The sequence below is a fragment of the Homo sapiens genome, chromosome 3 (assembly GCF_000001405.40).
Source record: "Homo sapiens chromosome 3, GRCh38.p14 Primary Assembly".
NCBI classification, from domain to species: domain Eukaryota; kingdom Metazoa; phylum Chordata; class Mammalia; order Primates; family Hominidae; genus Homo; species Homo sapiens.
This window is the reverse complement of record NC_000003.12, coordinates 125868757-125887262: the sequence shown is the minus strand read 5'-3', so window position 1 is coordinate 125887262 and position 18506 is coordinate 125868757. Positions and strand designations below refer to the sequence as shown.

The following is an 18506-nucleotide window of genomic DNA, read 5'->3' as shown; positions in this document are numbered from 1 at the left end:
TGGCTCTAAGTGTTTCCTTGCTTTGCTGTGCTCCAGGGGAGTCCTTGAGCAGAAGGAAGCAAGTTGCCTGAGATTCTTCAAAGCCCGCAGCCCTTTTGGAGGTTAGATGGTTATTCTCAGAGCCTTTATGATGCATAATAAAGACCTAGCTTGGACCAATATTAGGATGAGTTATCTTGCTATTAACATTCTTTTAGGTAGAAGTTGCTGGTCCCATCTTGCTCACAATCCTCCAAAGTTTGAAAGTTATTTTCCAGGAGACTTGGCTTGCACTGAGAGCTGCCCTCCCACCCTCTCTCCAAATTTCCTCTTGGGGGTAGCCTAACAAGGTGCTGTCACAGACCCTTGTCGGCCACGATGACCCCACCCAGACCATCCCTCTGCTGTTTCACTCTTTGATAGTCTCTGGAGCTCTCTGGGGAGGGGTGAGACCTGCCGTCTAGTTTGTATGGTTTGCCCAGGTCTTACAGTCATGGCTGGCTGCCTCTCTCTGAGAACTAGAACTCCTGAACTTGGTGAAAGACCTCAGCCATCGATCATGTTGAATTATCGGGGACACTCATTTGAAATCCGAGCCTGTTCCAGATAGACTCTCTCTCTTTCTGCCCTGACCGTGAGAGAAGCCCTGCTGGACGGTGGAGACACTCGTGGGCTGTGAGCAAGGGATGCAAAGGCTGCCGGGAATCCCATCTTTCCAGCATCATCTGCCAAGGCACATTAGTTCCTGGGTATCTGGATGGGTTCTAGCAGCATTACTGTCATTGAAGGAAAAATTTTAGCCATATTAAAGGTTAATGCAGCAATCTCCACATAGGCTGCCTGGAAGGGAAGCAGGACAAGGTTAGGTTTTCCTTGTGATGGACAGGAGGCAGGCGGCCCTCCCACAGCCCTGCCTGGCAATACAGATGTGTCCCCAAAAGGCACTGGGGGCCAGCTGGAGTGCTATGCCGAGGCGGACTGACCCGGGCCGTGGGTTCACTCTGCTGGCAGCGGTTTCCCGCCAGCTCCTTGCAGAGTTGGCAGATGGCCCAGCCCCACAGCAGGAGCCGGGAATGGCAGAACGAGACACAACAATTTGATATCCACTTGCCAGATGAGCCGGGTGTCATCAGTCGCCTGGCTCTATGCCCAACCTCTTTTTGCATAAACACTTATGGATTCAGCCAAGAGGAAAAGCACTCTGATTATGAATTGAGCAGAAGGAAACAAAGTTCTGCAGATAAACACCAATGAAACAAAAAACCACGAATAAGAAAAATGACAGAAAAGGAGAACCTTCCCAGAATCCTCCTGCCAGTGAACGGTCACCAGAGCAAGAGCATGGAGTCCCTGGGTTTTGAACTGTGAGATAAGGAAGATGATGAAAACCTCCCTAGCAGCCAGGTAAGCACAAGATTCCTGTGAAATCCAGGTCTAAGTGTTTTGACCACAGAAGTAATATTATGTCATAGGTGAGAGCTGTGAGTTGCTGAACCCAAAGTGAGTTCAAATCCGAGTTCTGTCTCCTGCAAACTGTGTGACTTTGAGAAGTTCCAGCACCACTTTGTGCCTTAGTTTTCTCATCTGTTGAATGGGTGTAATCACAGCTCCTGCCTCAGAGTTGTTGTAAATTAATACATGTAAAGCACTGAAATCAGCCTGGTATACAGTAAGTGTTATGAATGTTACTTTCTTGGAAGGACAGAACTTATTTTCATGGTCTAAGCCTGAAAATCTAAAAAATGTGAGAGAAGAGGAAAGAATCTAGAGTGTCACCATGAGGGGGAAAAGTCAACTTGAAGCAGGACAGGGTCATTGACAATTTCCTGTGATTCTACAGCTGCCTTGTACACTATGGTAGCTCCTAGCCACTTGTTTAGATTTTGTGATTTAGAAATGAATTAAGGCTGGGCATGGTGGCTCACACCTGTAATCCCAGCACTTTGGGAGGCCAAGGTGGGCAGATCACCTGAAGTCAGGAGTTCAAGATCAGCCTGGCCAACATGGTGAAATCCCATCTCTACAAAAATACAAAAATTAGCTGGCCATGATGGCGGGTTCCTGTAATCCTAGGTACTCAGGAGGCTGAGGCAGGAGAATTGCTTGAACCTGGGAGATGGAGGTTGCAGTGAGACGAGATTGTGCCACTGCACTCCAGCCTGGGGAATAGAATGAGACTCTGTCTCAAAAAAAAAAAAAATTTTTTTTGTTAAAATAAGAGAAAATTGAAAATTCAGCTCTTCATTCTCACCAGCCACATTTCAAGGGCTCAACAGCCCATGTGGGTGGCTAGCAGCTCCCATGTTGGACAGTGCAGAGTAGAGCAAGTCCGCCATTGCAGAATGTTTGATTGGACAGTGACCGAATAGTCTATTGCAGTGGTCCCCAATTTTTTTTTAGCACCAAGGACCAGTTTCCATGGATTTTTAGGGGGAAGTTTCGGGATGATTCAAGTGCATTACATTTACTGTGTACTTTATTTCTATTGTTATGAACATTATAATATACAATGAAATCATTATACAACTCACCATAATGTAGAATCAGTGGGAGCCCTGAGCTTGTTTTCCTGCAACTAGATAATTCCATCTCAGGGTGGTGGGAGACAGTGACAGATCATCAGGCATTAGATTGTCATAAGGAGCACACAACCTAGATCCCTTCCACATGCAGTTCACACTAGGGTTGGTGCTCCTATGAGAATCTAATGCCACTGCTGATCTGATAGGAGACAGAGATCAGCCAGGGGGATCAGCTGTAAATACAGATGAAGCTTCACTCACTAGCCCGCTGCTCACCTCCTTCTGTGCAACCCAGTTCCTAACAGGCCACAGACCACTACTGGTCAGTGGTCTGGGGGCTGGGGACCTCTGGTCTATTGGATAACACTGGCTTGGAGCATACTGATCATCCAAAGAAGAGCTGAGATGATTTGGCCTCCATTAGTAAGAATGATGGACTTTTTTTTTTTTTTTTTTTTTGTGAGACAGAGTTTCACTCATGTTGCCCAGGCTGGAGTGCAGTGGCACCATCTCAGCTCACTGCAACCTCTGCCTCCCAGGTTCAAGTGATTCTCATGCCTCAGCCTCCCAAGTAGCTGGAATTACAAGTGCCTGCCACCGTGCCTGGCTAATTTTTGTATTTTTAGTAGAGTCGGGGTTTTGCCATGTTGATCAGGCTGGTCTTAAATTCCTGACCTCAAGTGATCCGCCTGCCTTGGTCTCCCAAAGTGCTGGGATTACTGGTGTGAGACACCGCACCTGGCCAGATGGACTTTTTTTGAGCATTTAGTTCCAAGCACCTTCCCTGCACTTTCTCAGTTAATCCTCCCAGTGACTCTTTGAAGCAGGGACTATGACAATCTTCAATTCCCAGATGGAGCAACTCAGGCACAGAAAGCTAGTCATTGGCCACGGTTGCCCAGCTGAGGAAGGATGGAGCCAGCTGAGATCCTGTTCTGGGGATCTAACTCTGCAGCCTGCATTCTGGGCTGTTGTATTCTCCCATGTTGCTATCTGACGAGCACAGCATGGGCTCAGAGTACAGAGAGGAGGAACCAGGTGACAAGGATAGGTCTGGGGTGAAGGCTGGTGCCTTGGGGAAGGAGAGAGAGGCCCCATTCTAAAGGGATGCCATTGGAAGCTCATAGTGATAAAGCAAAGCCGACAGGTTTTGGGGCTGGGAGTTAAACACACAGCTCTGGTTTCTGCCTTTTCACAGTGGTGATGAATGGGCACTGAGACCCTCTCAAGCTAAAGTTGTCATCACTGATCTTCATAGTCTGAAGGTGCATGAAATGGTCAACTTTCTTCCAAAAGGCTTTTATGCCTAAGTCTGTGGTTAGTGTATAAACAGATATTTACTGAAGTCCTGCTGGGTGCAGACACTGTGGCCAGCCCTGAGGCTACAGTCGAGATGAAGCCAGTTTCTGTCCTCATGGAGACCTGTCTATTGATAAGAGAAAGCTCACTGAGCATTGACCCTGTGCCCACTGCTTTTGATGCATCTCTCATTTAATCCTTCTATCAAATCTGTGAGATAAACACATCACCATCATCCCTATTTCACATTTAGGGAAACATATGCTTAGAGAGGGTAAGTAACTTGGTCAAGGTCGCACAGCTTCGAACTCTCATCCCACAGGTGCAGGAATGAGAGGCAGCAGCCAGGGAAGCCAGGGTCTCCGGAAGTCCTTGTCTCTGGGTGGTTATACAGAGAGAGAGAGAGAACACGATTGTCTCAGCAATGGGTCTTCTTCTGAGTCTTGAAGGAGCACTTCCAGAGCCTCTCGGTGTTAAACATCATGTTGTGAATGACTCCGTGAGCTCTGGCCCAGTGATCTTGGGGATAAAGGAGGGGAGGTACAGATAAGCTCTTCGAATGGATGTTGCCGGGGTGTCAGTGTTCTTTGAGGGCACAGACTATGTGTCACCAAGGAAAGAGCCCAGTGCCTTTTCTCATTGCTCAAGAGATTGAAGGGGTAGGAAGAAAAGATGTTAAGTTATAAATACGTTTCAGTTTTGGTACCAGTTGAACCAATTTACGTTTTGAAGAGGAGAGTCTTGCCTACAAAGTGACCCCCCGGGTTTTCCTTCTGCTTATGGAATCCAGGCAATGGGCAAAGAGAAAAAGAAAACTAAGGAATCAGCCAGGTGCAGTGGCTCGTGCTTGTAATCTTGGCACTTTGGGAAGCTGAGGCAGGTGGACTTCTTGAGTTCAGGAGTTCAAGACCAGCCTGGGCAACATAGTGAGACCCCGTTTCTACAAAAAATACAAAAAAGTTGCTGAGCGTGGTGGCATGCACCTGTAGTCCCAGCTACTTGGGAGGCTGAGGTGGGAGAACTACTTCATCCCAGGAGGCTGAGGCTGCAGTGAGCCATGATCGTGCCACTATACTCCAGCCTGGGTGGCAGAGTGAGGCCCTGTCTCAAAAAAAAAAACCCAAAAAGTTAAGAAAAAGAAAACTAGGGAATCTAGACAGAATAAGTTTATATATATAATAAAGAACTGAGCTAGAACTGGGTTGACTGAGTAATTATTTGAATTGCTTTTGACTGAATTTTTCCTATTGCAGTCTACCTTTGTTTTTGTGTGTGTGTGTGGTTTGTTTTGTTTTGTTTTGTTTTGTTTGGTTTGGTTTGGTTTGGTTTAGTTTCGTCTTTGTGTTTTTTTGAGACTGGGCCTTGCTCTGTTGCCTAGGCTGCTGGAGTGCGGTGGCGTGATCTCAGCTCACTGCAACCTCTGCCTTCTGGGTTCCAGCAATTCTTCTGCCTCAGTCTCCCCAGTAGCTGAGACTGCTGGGCATGCACCACCAAGCCAAGCTAATTTTTGTGTTTTTAGTAGAGATGGGGTTTCACCATGTTGGCCAGGCCTGGTCTTGAACTCCTGGGCTCAAGTGATCCGCCTGCCTCGGCCTCCCAAAGTGCTGGGATTACAGGTGTGAGTCCCTGCGCCCAGCTAGAGTCTACCTTTCTTTGAATTCACTGCAGTGCAAAGACTGAGGCATGTGGAACTCCAGGTGTGTATGGGTTACATAGAGATGCTAGGGGCTGATTAAGGAAGGAAAGATATGAGAAGCCTGCAGAGCATGCTTTCCCAGACTGTATGGGCCCTGGGAAAGGAGAAGTGGACAGAAAGGGAACACTGGATGCCCTGGAAGAGAAGATTCATCCAAGTCATCAGGGAAGTTACTAATGCAAGGGAAGAAATGCAGAGACAGGGCCAAACACGCTTCTTCCAAGTCCTTTCTGTCCGCTCAGTCACCTCTATGCTTATTTTTCTTCTTTCCTGTAAATAGTGTCATGCGTTTTCTTCCCATTCCTAGTCACTCCTAGTCAACTAACTCCTCTCTTTACCGTCTTTTCACCAGAACTTGAAACCTCCTCTCCTTCATGTATTAGTGATCATGTTTCTCCATAATACTGCTAGAAAGTAGAATTGAAACCTGGAAACCCTGCATTTGAGTACCAGATCTGCCTCTGCTAGCTATTTGAGAAGTTATTTTTTTCCATTCTTTTTGTTCTTGTTGAAACAGGTTGTCACTCTGTCACCCAGGCTGGAGTGCAGTGGTTCAATATTGGCTCACTGCAGCCTCAACCTCCTGGGCTCAAGCAGTCCTTCCACATCAGCGTCCTGAGTAGCTGGGACTGCAGGTGTGTGCCACCACACCTGGCTAATTTTTAATGGTTTTTTTTTGGTTATTTATTTCTTTTTGTAGAGATGGGGTCTTGCTATGTTGCGCAGGCTGGTCTCAAACTCGTGGGCTCAAGCGATCCTCCTGCCTTGGCCTCAGATAAAATGGGAAAAGTTCCCTTGTCCCCCTCGAAGGGCATGTGATGGGGGTGTGGTTCGCTTCATCAGTGCCCCACTGCTCAAACCTCTAGGGGAGCATACAGACAGGCAGGGAGCCCCATGGCAGGGTCTAGGGGTGAATGTTTGTAGTTGAAGCCCCAGTGGGCGTGTGTTACAGGGTGCTCTTTTAGTTTAGCCGTCCGTAGGTAGCTTGTGTTAGTCGGCTCAATTAGACCCCCACCTTATTGCAAAGACAGAGGGCTCTCTTTGTCCTGGGGTTCTTGCCTTGGTGTACCGGAAGCGGTGTGATCTCAGCTCACTGCAAGCTCCGCCTCCTGGGTTCACGCCATTCTCCTGCCTCAGCCTCCCAAGTGGCTGGGACTACAGGCGCCCGCCACCACGCCTGGCTAATTTTTTTGTATTTTTAGTAGAGATGGGGTTTCACTTTGTTAGCCAGGATGGTCTCGATCTCCTGACCTCGTGATCTGCCCGCCTTGGCCTCCCAAAGTGCTGGGATTACAGGAGTGAGAGTGCAAGGTTTTATTGAGTGGAAGTAGCTCTCAGCAGATGGGGGAGCCAGAAGGAAGATGGTTTTCCCCTGGAGTCAGGTGAGTGGCCCGACTCTTCTCTGACTGTCCCAGCCAAACTCTGCTTGTTGTGCCAGTCAGTGGCCTGCAGTGTGCCGGTGCCTATTGGTGTGTTCCTCTTGACGTGCAGCACCCATGTGTTCCTCCACTGATGTGCTCCTCTCGAAGTCCAGCCGCCTGTGTGTCTGCCTGCTAGGGTCTCAGGGTTTTTATAGGCACAGAATGGGGGTGTGGCAGCCAGGGTGGTCTTGGGAAATGCAACATTTGGGCAGGAAAACAAAAATCCCCATCCTCACCTAGGTCCGTGGGCACAGGCCCTGGGTGGAGCACTAGCCAGCGACAACACCCTCCTCTACCCAGTACTTCCCTTCTTCACTTCCATATCATTTAAAGGGACCACATTCTTCCCTTCCGATCACTTCCCTTCTGTATCACAAAGTGCTGGGATTATAGGCATGAGCCACTGGTCCCAGCCAATTCCGTTCTTTTAATGCAAACTAGAAAATAGGTGTTCAGAAAGGCCTGCCCTATCCACCTCAGGGAGTTGCTATGAAGATCAAATTAGATCATGTGCAACAGAAGTTTAGAAAAGATTCCAAAAGCACTGCACAATGGGAATGTATTTTTAAACTCCACTGAGTGGACTTAAAACTATGTTTTTTACTTTCTTTTTTTTTTGTTTGAGACAGAGTTTCACTCTTGTTGTCTAGGCTGGAGTGCAATGAAGCCATCTTGGCTCACTGCAACCTCCGCCTCCCAGGTTCAAGTGATTCTCTGCCTCAGCCTCCCAAGTAGCTGGGATTACAGGCACCCACAACCATGCCTGGCTAATTGCTTTCTTTCTTTCTTTCTTTCTTTTTTTTTTTTTTTTTGGCTTTTTAGTAGAGATGGGGTTTCACAGTGTTGGCCAGGCTGGTCTCGAACTCCTGACCTTAGGTGATCCACCCACCTTGGCCTCCCAGAGTGCTGGGATTAAGGCTTGAGCCACCGCACCCAACCTGTGTTTCTTTTTTAAGCAAGAAAACAAATGCCTCTCCCCAGCACTCACTAAACCAATCCCTCTTTTTTTTTTTTTCCATAGGATTCTTATCCTTCTTGCCCCAGTGCAAACAATCTATTTTCTTTTGGCCCCTCTGTCCATCTGTGAAAGGGTCAGGCTTTCTAGCTAATCCTTAATCAAATATTTTTGATGACCACAGTCAAGACAGTACTTATTATTTTTTTTTGAGATGGAGTTTCGCTCTTGTTGCCCAGGCTGGAGTGCAATGGCGCAATCTCAGCTCACTGAAACCTCTGCCTCCAGGGTTCAAGAGATTCTCTTGCCTCAGCCTCCCAAGTAGCTGGGATTACAGGTGCACAACACCACGCCCAGCTAATTTTTGTATTTTTAGTAGAGATGGGGTCTCTCCATGTTGGTCAGGCTGATCTCGAGCTCTTGACCTCAGGTGATCTACCCACCTCAGCCTCCCAAGGTGCTGGGATTACAGGGGTGAGCCACCCTGCCCGGCCAAGACAGTGCTTATTAATGCCTGAAATGCATTCAGGAGCACATGAGCTGGCTGTGGCTGTTCTAACAAAGTTCCCCAAATGGGTGGCTCAGGACACCAGAAAGTCATTCTCTCCAGTTCTGGAAGCTTGATGTCTGAAACCCGGCAGGGTCATGCTCCCTCTGAAGGCTCTAGGGATGAATCCTTCCTTGCCTCTTGTGGCTTCTGGTGGCTGCTGGCAATCCTTGGCTTGTGGCCACATCATTCCATTCTCTTCCTTCATTCTCATGTGGCCTTCTCCCCTGTGTGTCTCTGTCTCTTCTTCTCTTCCCGTGAGGATGTCATTATTACTCCATTTAAGGTCCACGCTATTCCAATATGACTTCTTTGTAATTATATCTGCAGTGACCCTATTTTCTTTTCTTTTTTTGAGATGGAGTCTTGCTCTGTTGCCCAGGCTGGAGTTCAGTGGCACAATCTCAGCTTGCTGCAACTCTGCCTCCTGGGTTCAAGTGATTCTTCAGCCTCAGCCTCCAAAGTAGCTAGGGTTACAGGTGCATGCCACCATGTCTAGCTAATTTTTATGCTTTTAGTAGAGACAGAGTTTTGCCATGCTAGCCAGGCTGGTCTCGAACTCCTGACCTCAAGTGATCCTTCTGCCTCAGCCTCCCAAAGTGCTAAGATTACAGGCATGAGCCACCATGCCCCACCCCTATTTTCTAATAAAGTCACATTCTGGGATTCCTGGTGAATGTGAATTTTTGGAGGACAGTATTCAGTCTAGCGAAAGGCAGGGCATCCTCATTTTCTTCCCTACTTCAGAAATAAGGAAGTTAACTTCAATCCTTGGAGAGAGAGAGAGACTTCCTGAGCTTCCAACAATCAATTATCCAAATATTAGTCGCAGAAGAGCACTAAGGGTTGTGCACAGCACGTTGCCAGCCCGTTCTCCGAGTCTCAAGTTTAAGGTGAACGCTAATCCTGAATGAGTTTTAAAATGTGTTTGGCATTTCCTCGTCATTGTAAAATGTTCTCACATCGTGATGGCTGGGCCTTCCCTCTCAGGTGTAATCTGCGAAGTCAGACGTGACATAGCCTGGGTGAGGTGGGCCAAGCTGGGAACTGGGTTAGGAGGGAAGCTGGGGAATGAGCGCCAAGGTCTCAGATCCCAAAATGGCTTTAGCCTGATTCGCCCAGAGGGACCTGGTAAAAAATACACATTCCAGAGCCCACCAAGGACCTAATGAATCAGAATTACCTGGGAAGGAGCCTGGGGAGCTCTGTTTTCAGAAGCAGCCCAGCAGAATCCTACCGTCAGACAGGGCTAGGAAACCGAGCTCAGTCTAGGGCAGTAGTTCCCAAACTCGTCTGTGCTTCAAAAAATACAGATGCTGATGGCCAGGCATGGTAGCTCAGGCCTGTGATCCCAGCAATTTGGGATGCTGAGGCGGGAGGATCACTTGAGCCCAGGAGTTTGAGACCAGCCTGGAGAACATAGGGAGATACTGTCGCTATAAAAAATTAAAAAATTAGCCAGGCATAGTGGTGCCCGCCTGTGATCCCAGCTACCCTGGAGGTTGAAGTGGGAGGGTTGCTTGAGCCCAGGAGTTGGAGGCTGTAGCGAGCTATGATTGTGCCCCTGCACTCCAGCCTGGGTAACAGAGTGAGGCTCTGTCTCAAAAACCAAACAGAACAAAAAACAAAAAACAGATGCTATGTCCCATTCCAGAGGTTGAGGTTTAGTTATTCTGGGGTGGGGTGTGGCCTGGGTTTTAGAACACTTAGAAAATCCCAGGTGATCCTAAAGTGTAGATGAGTTTGGAAAGCACACATCTAAGGCACACTTGAATGGGGGAGCAGTGAGGTGGTGTGGGCTAGCCGGCCAGAACCCAGGGGTGGGGCGGTAGGAACCAGCATAGCAGAGGCCATTAAGGCTGGGAAGCATAGTGTCTGGGGCCCATAACAGTGCTTGAACGTGAATGCTTTAGACCTAAGACAATTGGCTCCTAAATGTGAAAACTGCAAGCCTGAAATGAATGCATGTTTAATGCTTTGCAACATTGTCAAGTGGTTAGCTGCCACTCCGTTCTGAGGGCATGATGCCTGAGATATGCCTGTAATGGAGGTTGATTTTAATGAATTTAATATGGTGTGGAGTGGGACCTTCAAAAGTAAAAATGTCCATTCTAAGTTGGTTGCGGGGGTCTGGGCAAAGGTCTTAAAACACTGTGGTAAACACCCCAATTTTAAAACAGGGCCTTTTTTCCAAGAGACTTTTTGAAAATAGCTCCTATTTTGAGGGGAGGAACCCTGTCAGGAGAGAGCCAGAGTTAAGCCCAGCTGAGAGGGGGTTGGCAGGCAGGGGTCTGCCTGGTCCTCACTGAAGCTTGCTACTCAGGGTGAGCTTCCTAAACCAATGCAGATTTGCTGGCCCACTGAGCCTCCCAGCTGAGAACATGCATTTCAACAAGGTCCTCAGTGCAGCAAAGTTTGAGATATACTGGGCTAGAACACCCAGGGGACACAAAGGTTCTTTGAAAACTAAGGAAAATAGGCAGGGTGTGGTGGCTAATGCCTGTAATCCTTGTATTTTGGGAGGCCAAGGTGGGTGGATCACTTGAGGTCAGGAGTTCGAGACCAGCCTGGACCAACATGGTGAAACACCATCTCTACAAAAGATACAAAAATTAGCCAGGTGCAGTGGCAGATACCTGTAGTCCCAGCTACATGGGGAGCTGAGACAGGAGAATCGATTGAACCTGGGAGGCGGAAGTTGCAGTGGCCCGAGATCGCACCACTGCACTCCAGTCTGGTGACAGAGTGAGACTCCATCTAAAAAAGTAAAAAATAAAATAAATAAAAATAAATACTGGGCTAGAAGACCCAGGAGACCCAAAGATTACCTCAAAACTAAGGAAAATAATCTAGGTCACAAATATATTCTCTTTCTCCTTCTCCCCATTGCCCCCCTCCACCAGTAATCTTTATACACTCAAATAGAGTTGATGTTCTATAATCAATTCTAGTGACTTTTATTTATATTTATTTATTTTAGAGATGGGGGTCTCACTATGTTGCTCAGGCTGGTCTCAAATTCCTGGGCTCAAGTGATCCACACACCTCGGTCTCCCAAAGTGCTGGGATTACAGGAATCAGCCACTGCACCTGGCCATCACTTTTATTTTTGATGTTCAAATTCTAAGCTAATGTCTGTGAGACCATAGATTCTTTTTATGCACTCAATACATTTTTGTGTTTACCTTACATTTTTATTATGGAAAAGATTCTGTTTTTTCCAACTTGTTTCTATTTGATAATGAAGCTCTCTGTGCCTATCACCAGCCTCAGCCGCCATCATCTCATTACCAAGCTGGGTTATTTTGAAGCAAATATCTTCAATATTTAGCCAGTCTTCAAATTTCCCCAACCATCCTAAATGAGTGTTTAGAATAGTTATTTCATTGGAAACAAGGTCAAAACAAGTACATTTTACATTTTTAGGCCAGTCTTGAAAGTAAGGATAAAACCATGTGTGGGGTAGGAGGTGGGACTAGCCTCTCAAGGTGGGGCCTGGATACCAGACCCAATTGAGGACTAGCTAAGACAGATTCCACAATGAATAACACCAGGAGGTGGGAATATTAAGGTCTATTGCAAAGGTTGTCTACCACAATTATTTGATCAACTAGTTATCAACCCTGACTGCAGCTGAGAGAGATTTGTTTTTGCTTTTTTTTTTTTTTTTTTTTCAGAGACAGGGTCTTGTTGTGTTGCCCAGGCTGGACTCAAACTCCTGGGTTCAAATGATTCTTCTGCCTCAGTCTCCCGAGTAGCTGAGACTACAGGTGTGTGCCACTGTGCCCAGCAAGATATTAAAAAATACTTATGCGAGGACACCACTCTAAACCAACTAAATCAGAATCAGATATAGTGAAGTCATTAATCATTTTGCTCCTGGGTCTTTATGACAGTTTTGCTCCTAGGAAACTCCTGGGAATGTGGTAGAGAGAGAGAAAGAGATGGGAAAATAAGATTTTAAGAAGTGTTGCTATGCATTTTGAAAATAGTTTTTCTTTGGTGTTTGTCTTGAGGGACGGCGGTAAACATTTCAATTGCCTTTAAGTATGCTTGCATGCTGGAATGATGGCTCTTTGAATGCGGCATCGAACTGGGATTGGGCCACATGGCAGCCAGCATGAGCCTTTATGCCACATTTATAAAACATGAATGTCATGAGCCCACTCTCAGGGACCTTACAATTTGGAGGATTAGGTCAGATCCACAAGTCTCCTCTATCTCATGGTAAAGGAAACCTGGCATGTAGCAGGAGATGGTGTGAAACAATATCATATTGCATAATCAATATTTGTATTCTTCTTAGCAATATTAAACTTTTTGACCCCCTCCATTGTGTCATCAATCTGCTTAATACAGTTTCTGCTTCAGCGTCGGTTTTTCGGCCTGGCATAAGCTGTTTGAAACCCAGGCACGTACCCTGCCCATCATCTTTGGCCTAGTTAACACCTCCCCTCCCTGAGTGGTGGTTTGGAGAACCTGCTTGTTCCTCATCCCACTGATCCCAAACCCAGGACACCCCACAGCTGCTGACCAGGATTAAACGTAACGGAGATTTAATGCCTTTCTTCTGATTCTCAGGGACTGACATTCATTCACTTAAATACTTGCAGAGTCAGCCAGGCATGGTGGCTCACACATGTAATCCCAGCACTTTGGGAGGCTGAGGTGGGTGGATCACGAGGTCAAGATTTCGAGACCAGCCTGGCCAACATGATGAAACCCCATCTCTACTAAAAATACAAAAATTAACTGGTGTAGCAGTGCGTGCCTGTAATCCCAGCTACTCAGGAGGCTGAGGCAGGGGATTTGCTTGAACCTGGGAGGTGGAGGTTGCAGTGAGCCAAGATTATGCCATTACACTCCAGCCTGGGCAGCAGAGTGAGACTCTGTCTCAAAAAACAAAAAACCCAAAAACTTGCAGAGTGAATTTAAGAAACCATGAAGTCCAGAGTTTGATCCAATCTCTTCCTTTTTCTCTTTCTCAAATATTTTCAGCCAGGTACTATTCTAGATTGTCTTGTGATATTTACAATCTAGGAGAAGGCAGGAGAGAGAACTAAGAACAGAGAGCATGTTCTGAGATGTCTGCTGTGTTTGCAGGTACCTTCCCTCAATTTCCCTACTCATTGGCCATGCTAGAAAGCAGGTCTTGGCGCCATATTTGTACCATGGTACTTCCCCTCCCTATACTCAATTGGTTGGCCAGAAGCCCAATTGTCATTCTCTCTCTCTCTCTCTCTCCCTCTCCCTCTCTCCCTCTCCCTCCCTCCCTCTCCAAGATATCCAGTAACTGACTGATCAGCTGGTGGTGGGTTCTGCTGGCTGCCATGATGGGCCACCAGCAAAAAGGGAAAATTGGTTGTGAGTGAGAGAAGCGGAGATAAGAAAGGCCACAGGGCTGAAAAGAAAGACCATGGGCTGCCGGGTGCTGTGGCTCAAGCTTGTAATCCCAGCACTTTGGGAGGCCAAGATGGGCGGATCATGAGGTCAGGAGATCGAGACCATCCTGGCTCACACGGTGAAACGCCATCTCTACTAAAAATACAAAAAATTAGCCAGGTGTGGTGGCGGGTGTCTGTAGTCCCAGCTAGTTGGGAGGCTGAGGCGGGAGAATGGCATGAACCCCGGGAGGTGGAGCTTGCAGTGAGCTGAGATCGCACTACTGCACTCCAGCCTGGGCGACAGAGCAAGACTGCGTCTCAAAAACAAAAACAAAAAAAAAGGAGACCATGGGCTTCTGAGAGCCAGAAAGAGGCATTTTGGTTTCTGTAACTGCTGTTTCCATTCTCTCATGGCCTCTCATTTATTTCTCGTGCTCATGAGTTTGCCTGTTAGAGATAAGGTATGCTCCTTTCCCTCCAGCTCATGCAAATGGATTTGTTTCTTACAATCATTGTTCCCAGATATGGATGGTGAATGATGCTCTACTAAATGTTGAAAAAAAGCAGAGTGGAAGCACAGAAAAGAGGGCTTCTCTGAGGAGGTGACGTTGGAGCCCGGTTGGAAGGCAGGAGTAAATGTGCACCATGATTTTTTAGGATTAAAACGAAGTATCTCACTGCTTGGGCACATGCAGATAGATGTGATTTAACAATAAACTGTCCCAGTTGTACCCATTGTCAGTTACCTCACCACAGGGATTATGTAGCCCTGAGTTTGCTTAGTGCTTATTTATTTTAGGTTGTTGTTTATCCAAACCTCTTAAATGATATGCGTTTGGAACAAGTGACAGCATCATTCATTGATGTCGTGGACAAACCACTATTTTATTACTCAAGACTGGGTAATTTTAAAGAAAAAGAGATTTAATGGGCTCACAGTTCCATGTGGCTGAAGAAGCCTCCAAATCATGGTGGAAGGCAAAAGGCACATCTTACATGGTGGCAGACAAAAGTGATGAGAGCTATTTTGGTCATTGTTCACTGGCCATAGAATTTACTTCTATATTTTGAACTAAGACAAGAGCCAGGCACACTAGATGGGTACAGGTCTGTCTTTTGTTTTTGATGATGATGATGATGATGATGATGATGATGATGATGAAATGGCTGACATGGTTGATGACTTGCTTTTTCTCATCATCTCAGACTTAGATTTTTGGCTGGACTATTGGCTTGGGATAGATGAAAATCATTCCTTGTATCCCCTGATCTTAAAGTCAAGACTGAACCAGCCTCCAGATGCAAGCCTTCATGGGGCTTCAGATACCATGAGGAATGGGCGTCCCTGCAATATTGTCATGGCTGTCAAAAGTGTTATTGGAGCTGGGCAAGTGGGCGCTCTCCTGACATTCCATCCTGCTTAGATTTCCCATTCAACATCAATCTTATTTCCTTTTTTTTTTTTTTTTTTTTTGACAGAGTCTCACTCTGTCTCCTAGGCTGGAGTGCAGTGGTGGGATCTCGGCTCACTACAATCTCCACCTCCCAGGTTTAAGTGATTCTTGTGCCTCAGCCTCCCAAGTAGCTGGGATTGCGGGTGCACACCATCAAGCCTCTCTCTCTTTTTTTTTTTTTTTTTTTTTTTTTGGATTTTTAATAGAGACAGGGTTTCGCCATGTTGGCCAGGCTGGTCTTGAACTCCTGACCTCAAGTGATCCACCTACCTTGGCCTCCTAAAGTGCTGAGATTACAGGTGTGAGTCACCCTACCTGGCCCCATTTCCTCTTATACCATAAGTCATTGCCTGCAGATGTGTTTTCTCCATTAGTTTGCAAAAGCTTCCTGAGAGTAGGTCTGTGCCTCATTTATTCTGGAATCTTCCTGGCACAAAGCACAGGGCTTTATCCTCAGTAAGCATTCAACAAATGTTTAATTTCATTCAACAGCTCCTCTTACCACTGCCCCCACCTTATTTGCAGGTGGCTAAGTACAATCAGAACAAGTAGGTATCATAAGATTTAGTCCAGAATCAATTTGGGAAGAAATTACTTTAGTGATATGAAAAGAAACCAAGCTATTTAGTCGGAATACTTCTGAGAGTATCCCCTGTCCAAGCATTTGCTGAATTTCGATCTACTAATTTTCAGGTGGAACAGTATGGTTGCAGAGAGTCCATTTGGACATAGATACACTTTCATGCATTCATGTCTTCAACAATAATTTGTGGCCCTACTGTGTTTGTTCACTAACTCCTTCGAAACTACCATATAAGCTATATCTTTATTTTCCTTGTAATTTGGGAGGTCCAGTGCTTCATTAAGCTCACATGCCTGAAACTAATGAAGAAAATAGCTCGTTAACCAGCTAGTATAAAAATAGCCACCAAAACAAGTCAATCACCCACCTTAAATCAGCCCAGTACTCCCATCTTGAGCGGAGAAGCCCATTCTGAATCACAGTCAAGACAGTGATGGAAAAACAGCTCTCTCTGGGTATCAAAACCACGCTCGCCCCAAATCCTCCTCCCCAGAGTTCTACTCATTGCTCACCCACTGAACCCAGAACAAACCAGAAGTGCTTGAAATGAGGACGAGTAGCTCCGTGTACCAATCGGAATTTAAAACAATCAAGTCCTGCTATAGACGTGAGGCTTCTCCCCAGCACCAGCATTCCATGAAGGCAGCCCTTTTCTAGATGGAGAAAACAGAACCTGAAGGCACCCGTTTCCCTAAACTGCTCTCACTCATGTGTAAGTACAAATGAAAAATGCTGACGCTGCTTCTGTTGGCATTGATTTTTAATTATGGCCATGAATAAATCATTTTATCCTTGAACAAGACTTGAGAATGGCCCGAAGGCAGAGGCACGATTCCTTAGGAATTAGGCCAACAGAGAATGGGCTATCTCTCTTCCCACCCCTTCTTTTTTTTTTTTTTTTTTAATACTTTAAGTTTTAGGGTACATGTGCACTTTGTGCAGGTTAGTTACATATGTATACATGTGCCATGCTGGTGTGCTGCACCCACTAACTCGTCATCTAGCCTTAGGTATATCTCCCAATGCTATCCCTCCCCCCTCCCCCCACCCCACCACAGTCCCCAGAGTGTGGTATTCCCCTTCATGTGTCCATGTGATCTCATTGTTCAATTTCCACCTATGAGTGAGAATATATGGTGTTTGGTTTTTTGTTCTTGCGATAGTTTACTGAGAATGATGATTTCCAATTTCATCCATGTCCCTACAAAGGACATGAACTCATCATTTTTTATGGCTGCATAGTATTCCATGGCGTATATGTGCCACATTTTCTTAATCCAGTCTATCATTGTTGGACTTTTGGGGTTCTGCTGACACAGTTTTACCCCAGCCTGCCTTGATGGCCACTGCCACACAAGCTGCATCTGTTCTTTCTTCTGCGCCTTTTGTTACTTCGTTGTTTTTCTTCTTTCTAGTGTAGTGAGCTGAATGGTGGCTTTGCACAAGATATATCCAGATCCTTGTGCCTAGAATCTGTGGAGGTGGCATTATTTGGAAAAAGGGTCTTTGCAGATGTAATTAAGTTAAGGATCTTGAGATGAGATTCTCCTGGAGTATTTTAGGTAGGCTGTACATCTAAAGACAAATGTCCTTATAAGAGGACACTTTTGTCCGGGCACAGTGGCTCATGCCTGTAATCCCAGCACTTTGGGAGGCTGAGGTGAGTGGATCACCTGAGGTCAGGACTTCGAGACCAGCCTGACCAACATGGAGAAACCCCATCTCTACTAAAAATACAAAATTAGCCGGGCATGGTGGCGCGTGCCTGCAATCCCAGCTACTGGGGAGGCTGAGGCAGAAGAGTTGCTTGAACCCAGGAGGAGGAGGTGGCAGTGAGGTGAGGTCATGCCATTGCACTCCAGCCTGGGCAACAAGAGTGAAACTCCATCTCAAAAAAAAAAAAGAAAAATGAAGGACACTGTTTTTCACGTGCATCCGTGTGAAGAGACCACCAAACAGGCTTTGTGTGAGCAATAAAGCTGTTTATTTCACCAGGGTGCAGGCAGGCTGAGTCCAAAAAGAGAGTCAGTGAAGGGAGATAGGGGTGGGGCTGTTTTATAGGATTTGGGTAGGTAAAGGAAAAAGGGGTTGTTCTCTGGCAGGCAGGAGTGGTGGGGGTCACAAGGTGCTCAGTAGGGGAGCTTTTGAGCCAGGATGAGCCAGGAGAAGGAATTTCACAAGATAATGTCATCAGTTAAGGCAGGAACAGGCCATTTTCATTTATTTTGTGGTGGAATGTCATCAGTTAAGGCAGGAACCGGCCATCTGGATGTGTACGTGCAGGTCACAGGGGATATGATGGCTTAGCTTGGGCTCAGAGGCCTGACGTTCCTGTCTTCTTATATTAACAGGAAAAATAAAACGAAATAGTGGTAAAGTGTTGGGACGGCGAAAATTTTTGGGGATGGTATGGAGAAGTAATGGGCGATGTTTCTCAGGGCTGCTTTGAGCGGGATTAGAGGCAGCGTTGGAACCTAGAGTGGGAGAGATGAAGCTGAAGGAATATTTTGTGGTAAGGGGTGATATTGTGGGGTTGTTAGAAGAAACATTTGTCATTTAGAATTATTGATGATGGCTTGGATACAGTTTTGTATGAATTAAAAACTAAACAGAATAAGAGAAGGAGAAAAGCAGGTATTAAAGGACTAAGAATTGGGAGGACCTAG

At 46.3% G+C, this 18506-nt stretch overlaps 1 long non-coding RNA gene and 1 pseudogene across 2 annotated transcripts in view; one reads left to right on the top strand and one right to left on the bottom strand.

The window, feature by feature from the left end:
- The window catches only part of ENPP7P4 (ectonucleotide pyrophosphatase/phosphodiesterase 7 pseudogene 4), a 61192-nt pseudogene that overhangs the window by 22152 nt on the left and 20534 nt on the right, over window positions 1–18506 (bottom strand).
- Window positions 1186–18506, top strand: part of LINC02614 (long intergenic non-protein coding RNA 2614) — a 58841-nt gene continuing 41520 nt past the window's right edge. Inside the window, exons 1-4 of one of the 2 annotated variants that reach the window (NR_125395.1) lie at window positions 1186–1383; window positions 12097–12189; window positions 13418–13522; window positions 15010–15190. This is a non-coding gene — a long non-coding RNA (long intergenic non-protein coding RNA 2614). The remainder of the gene's footprint in view (window positions 1384–12096; window positions 12190–13417; window positions 13523–15009; window positions 15191–18506) is intronic. The other variant, NR_125396.1, reaches the window with a different exon arrangement.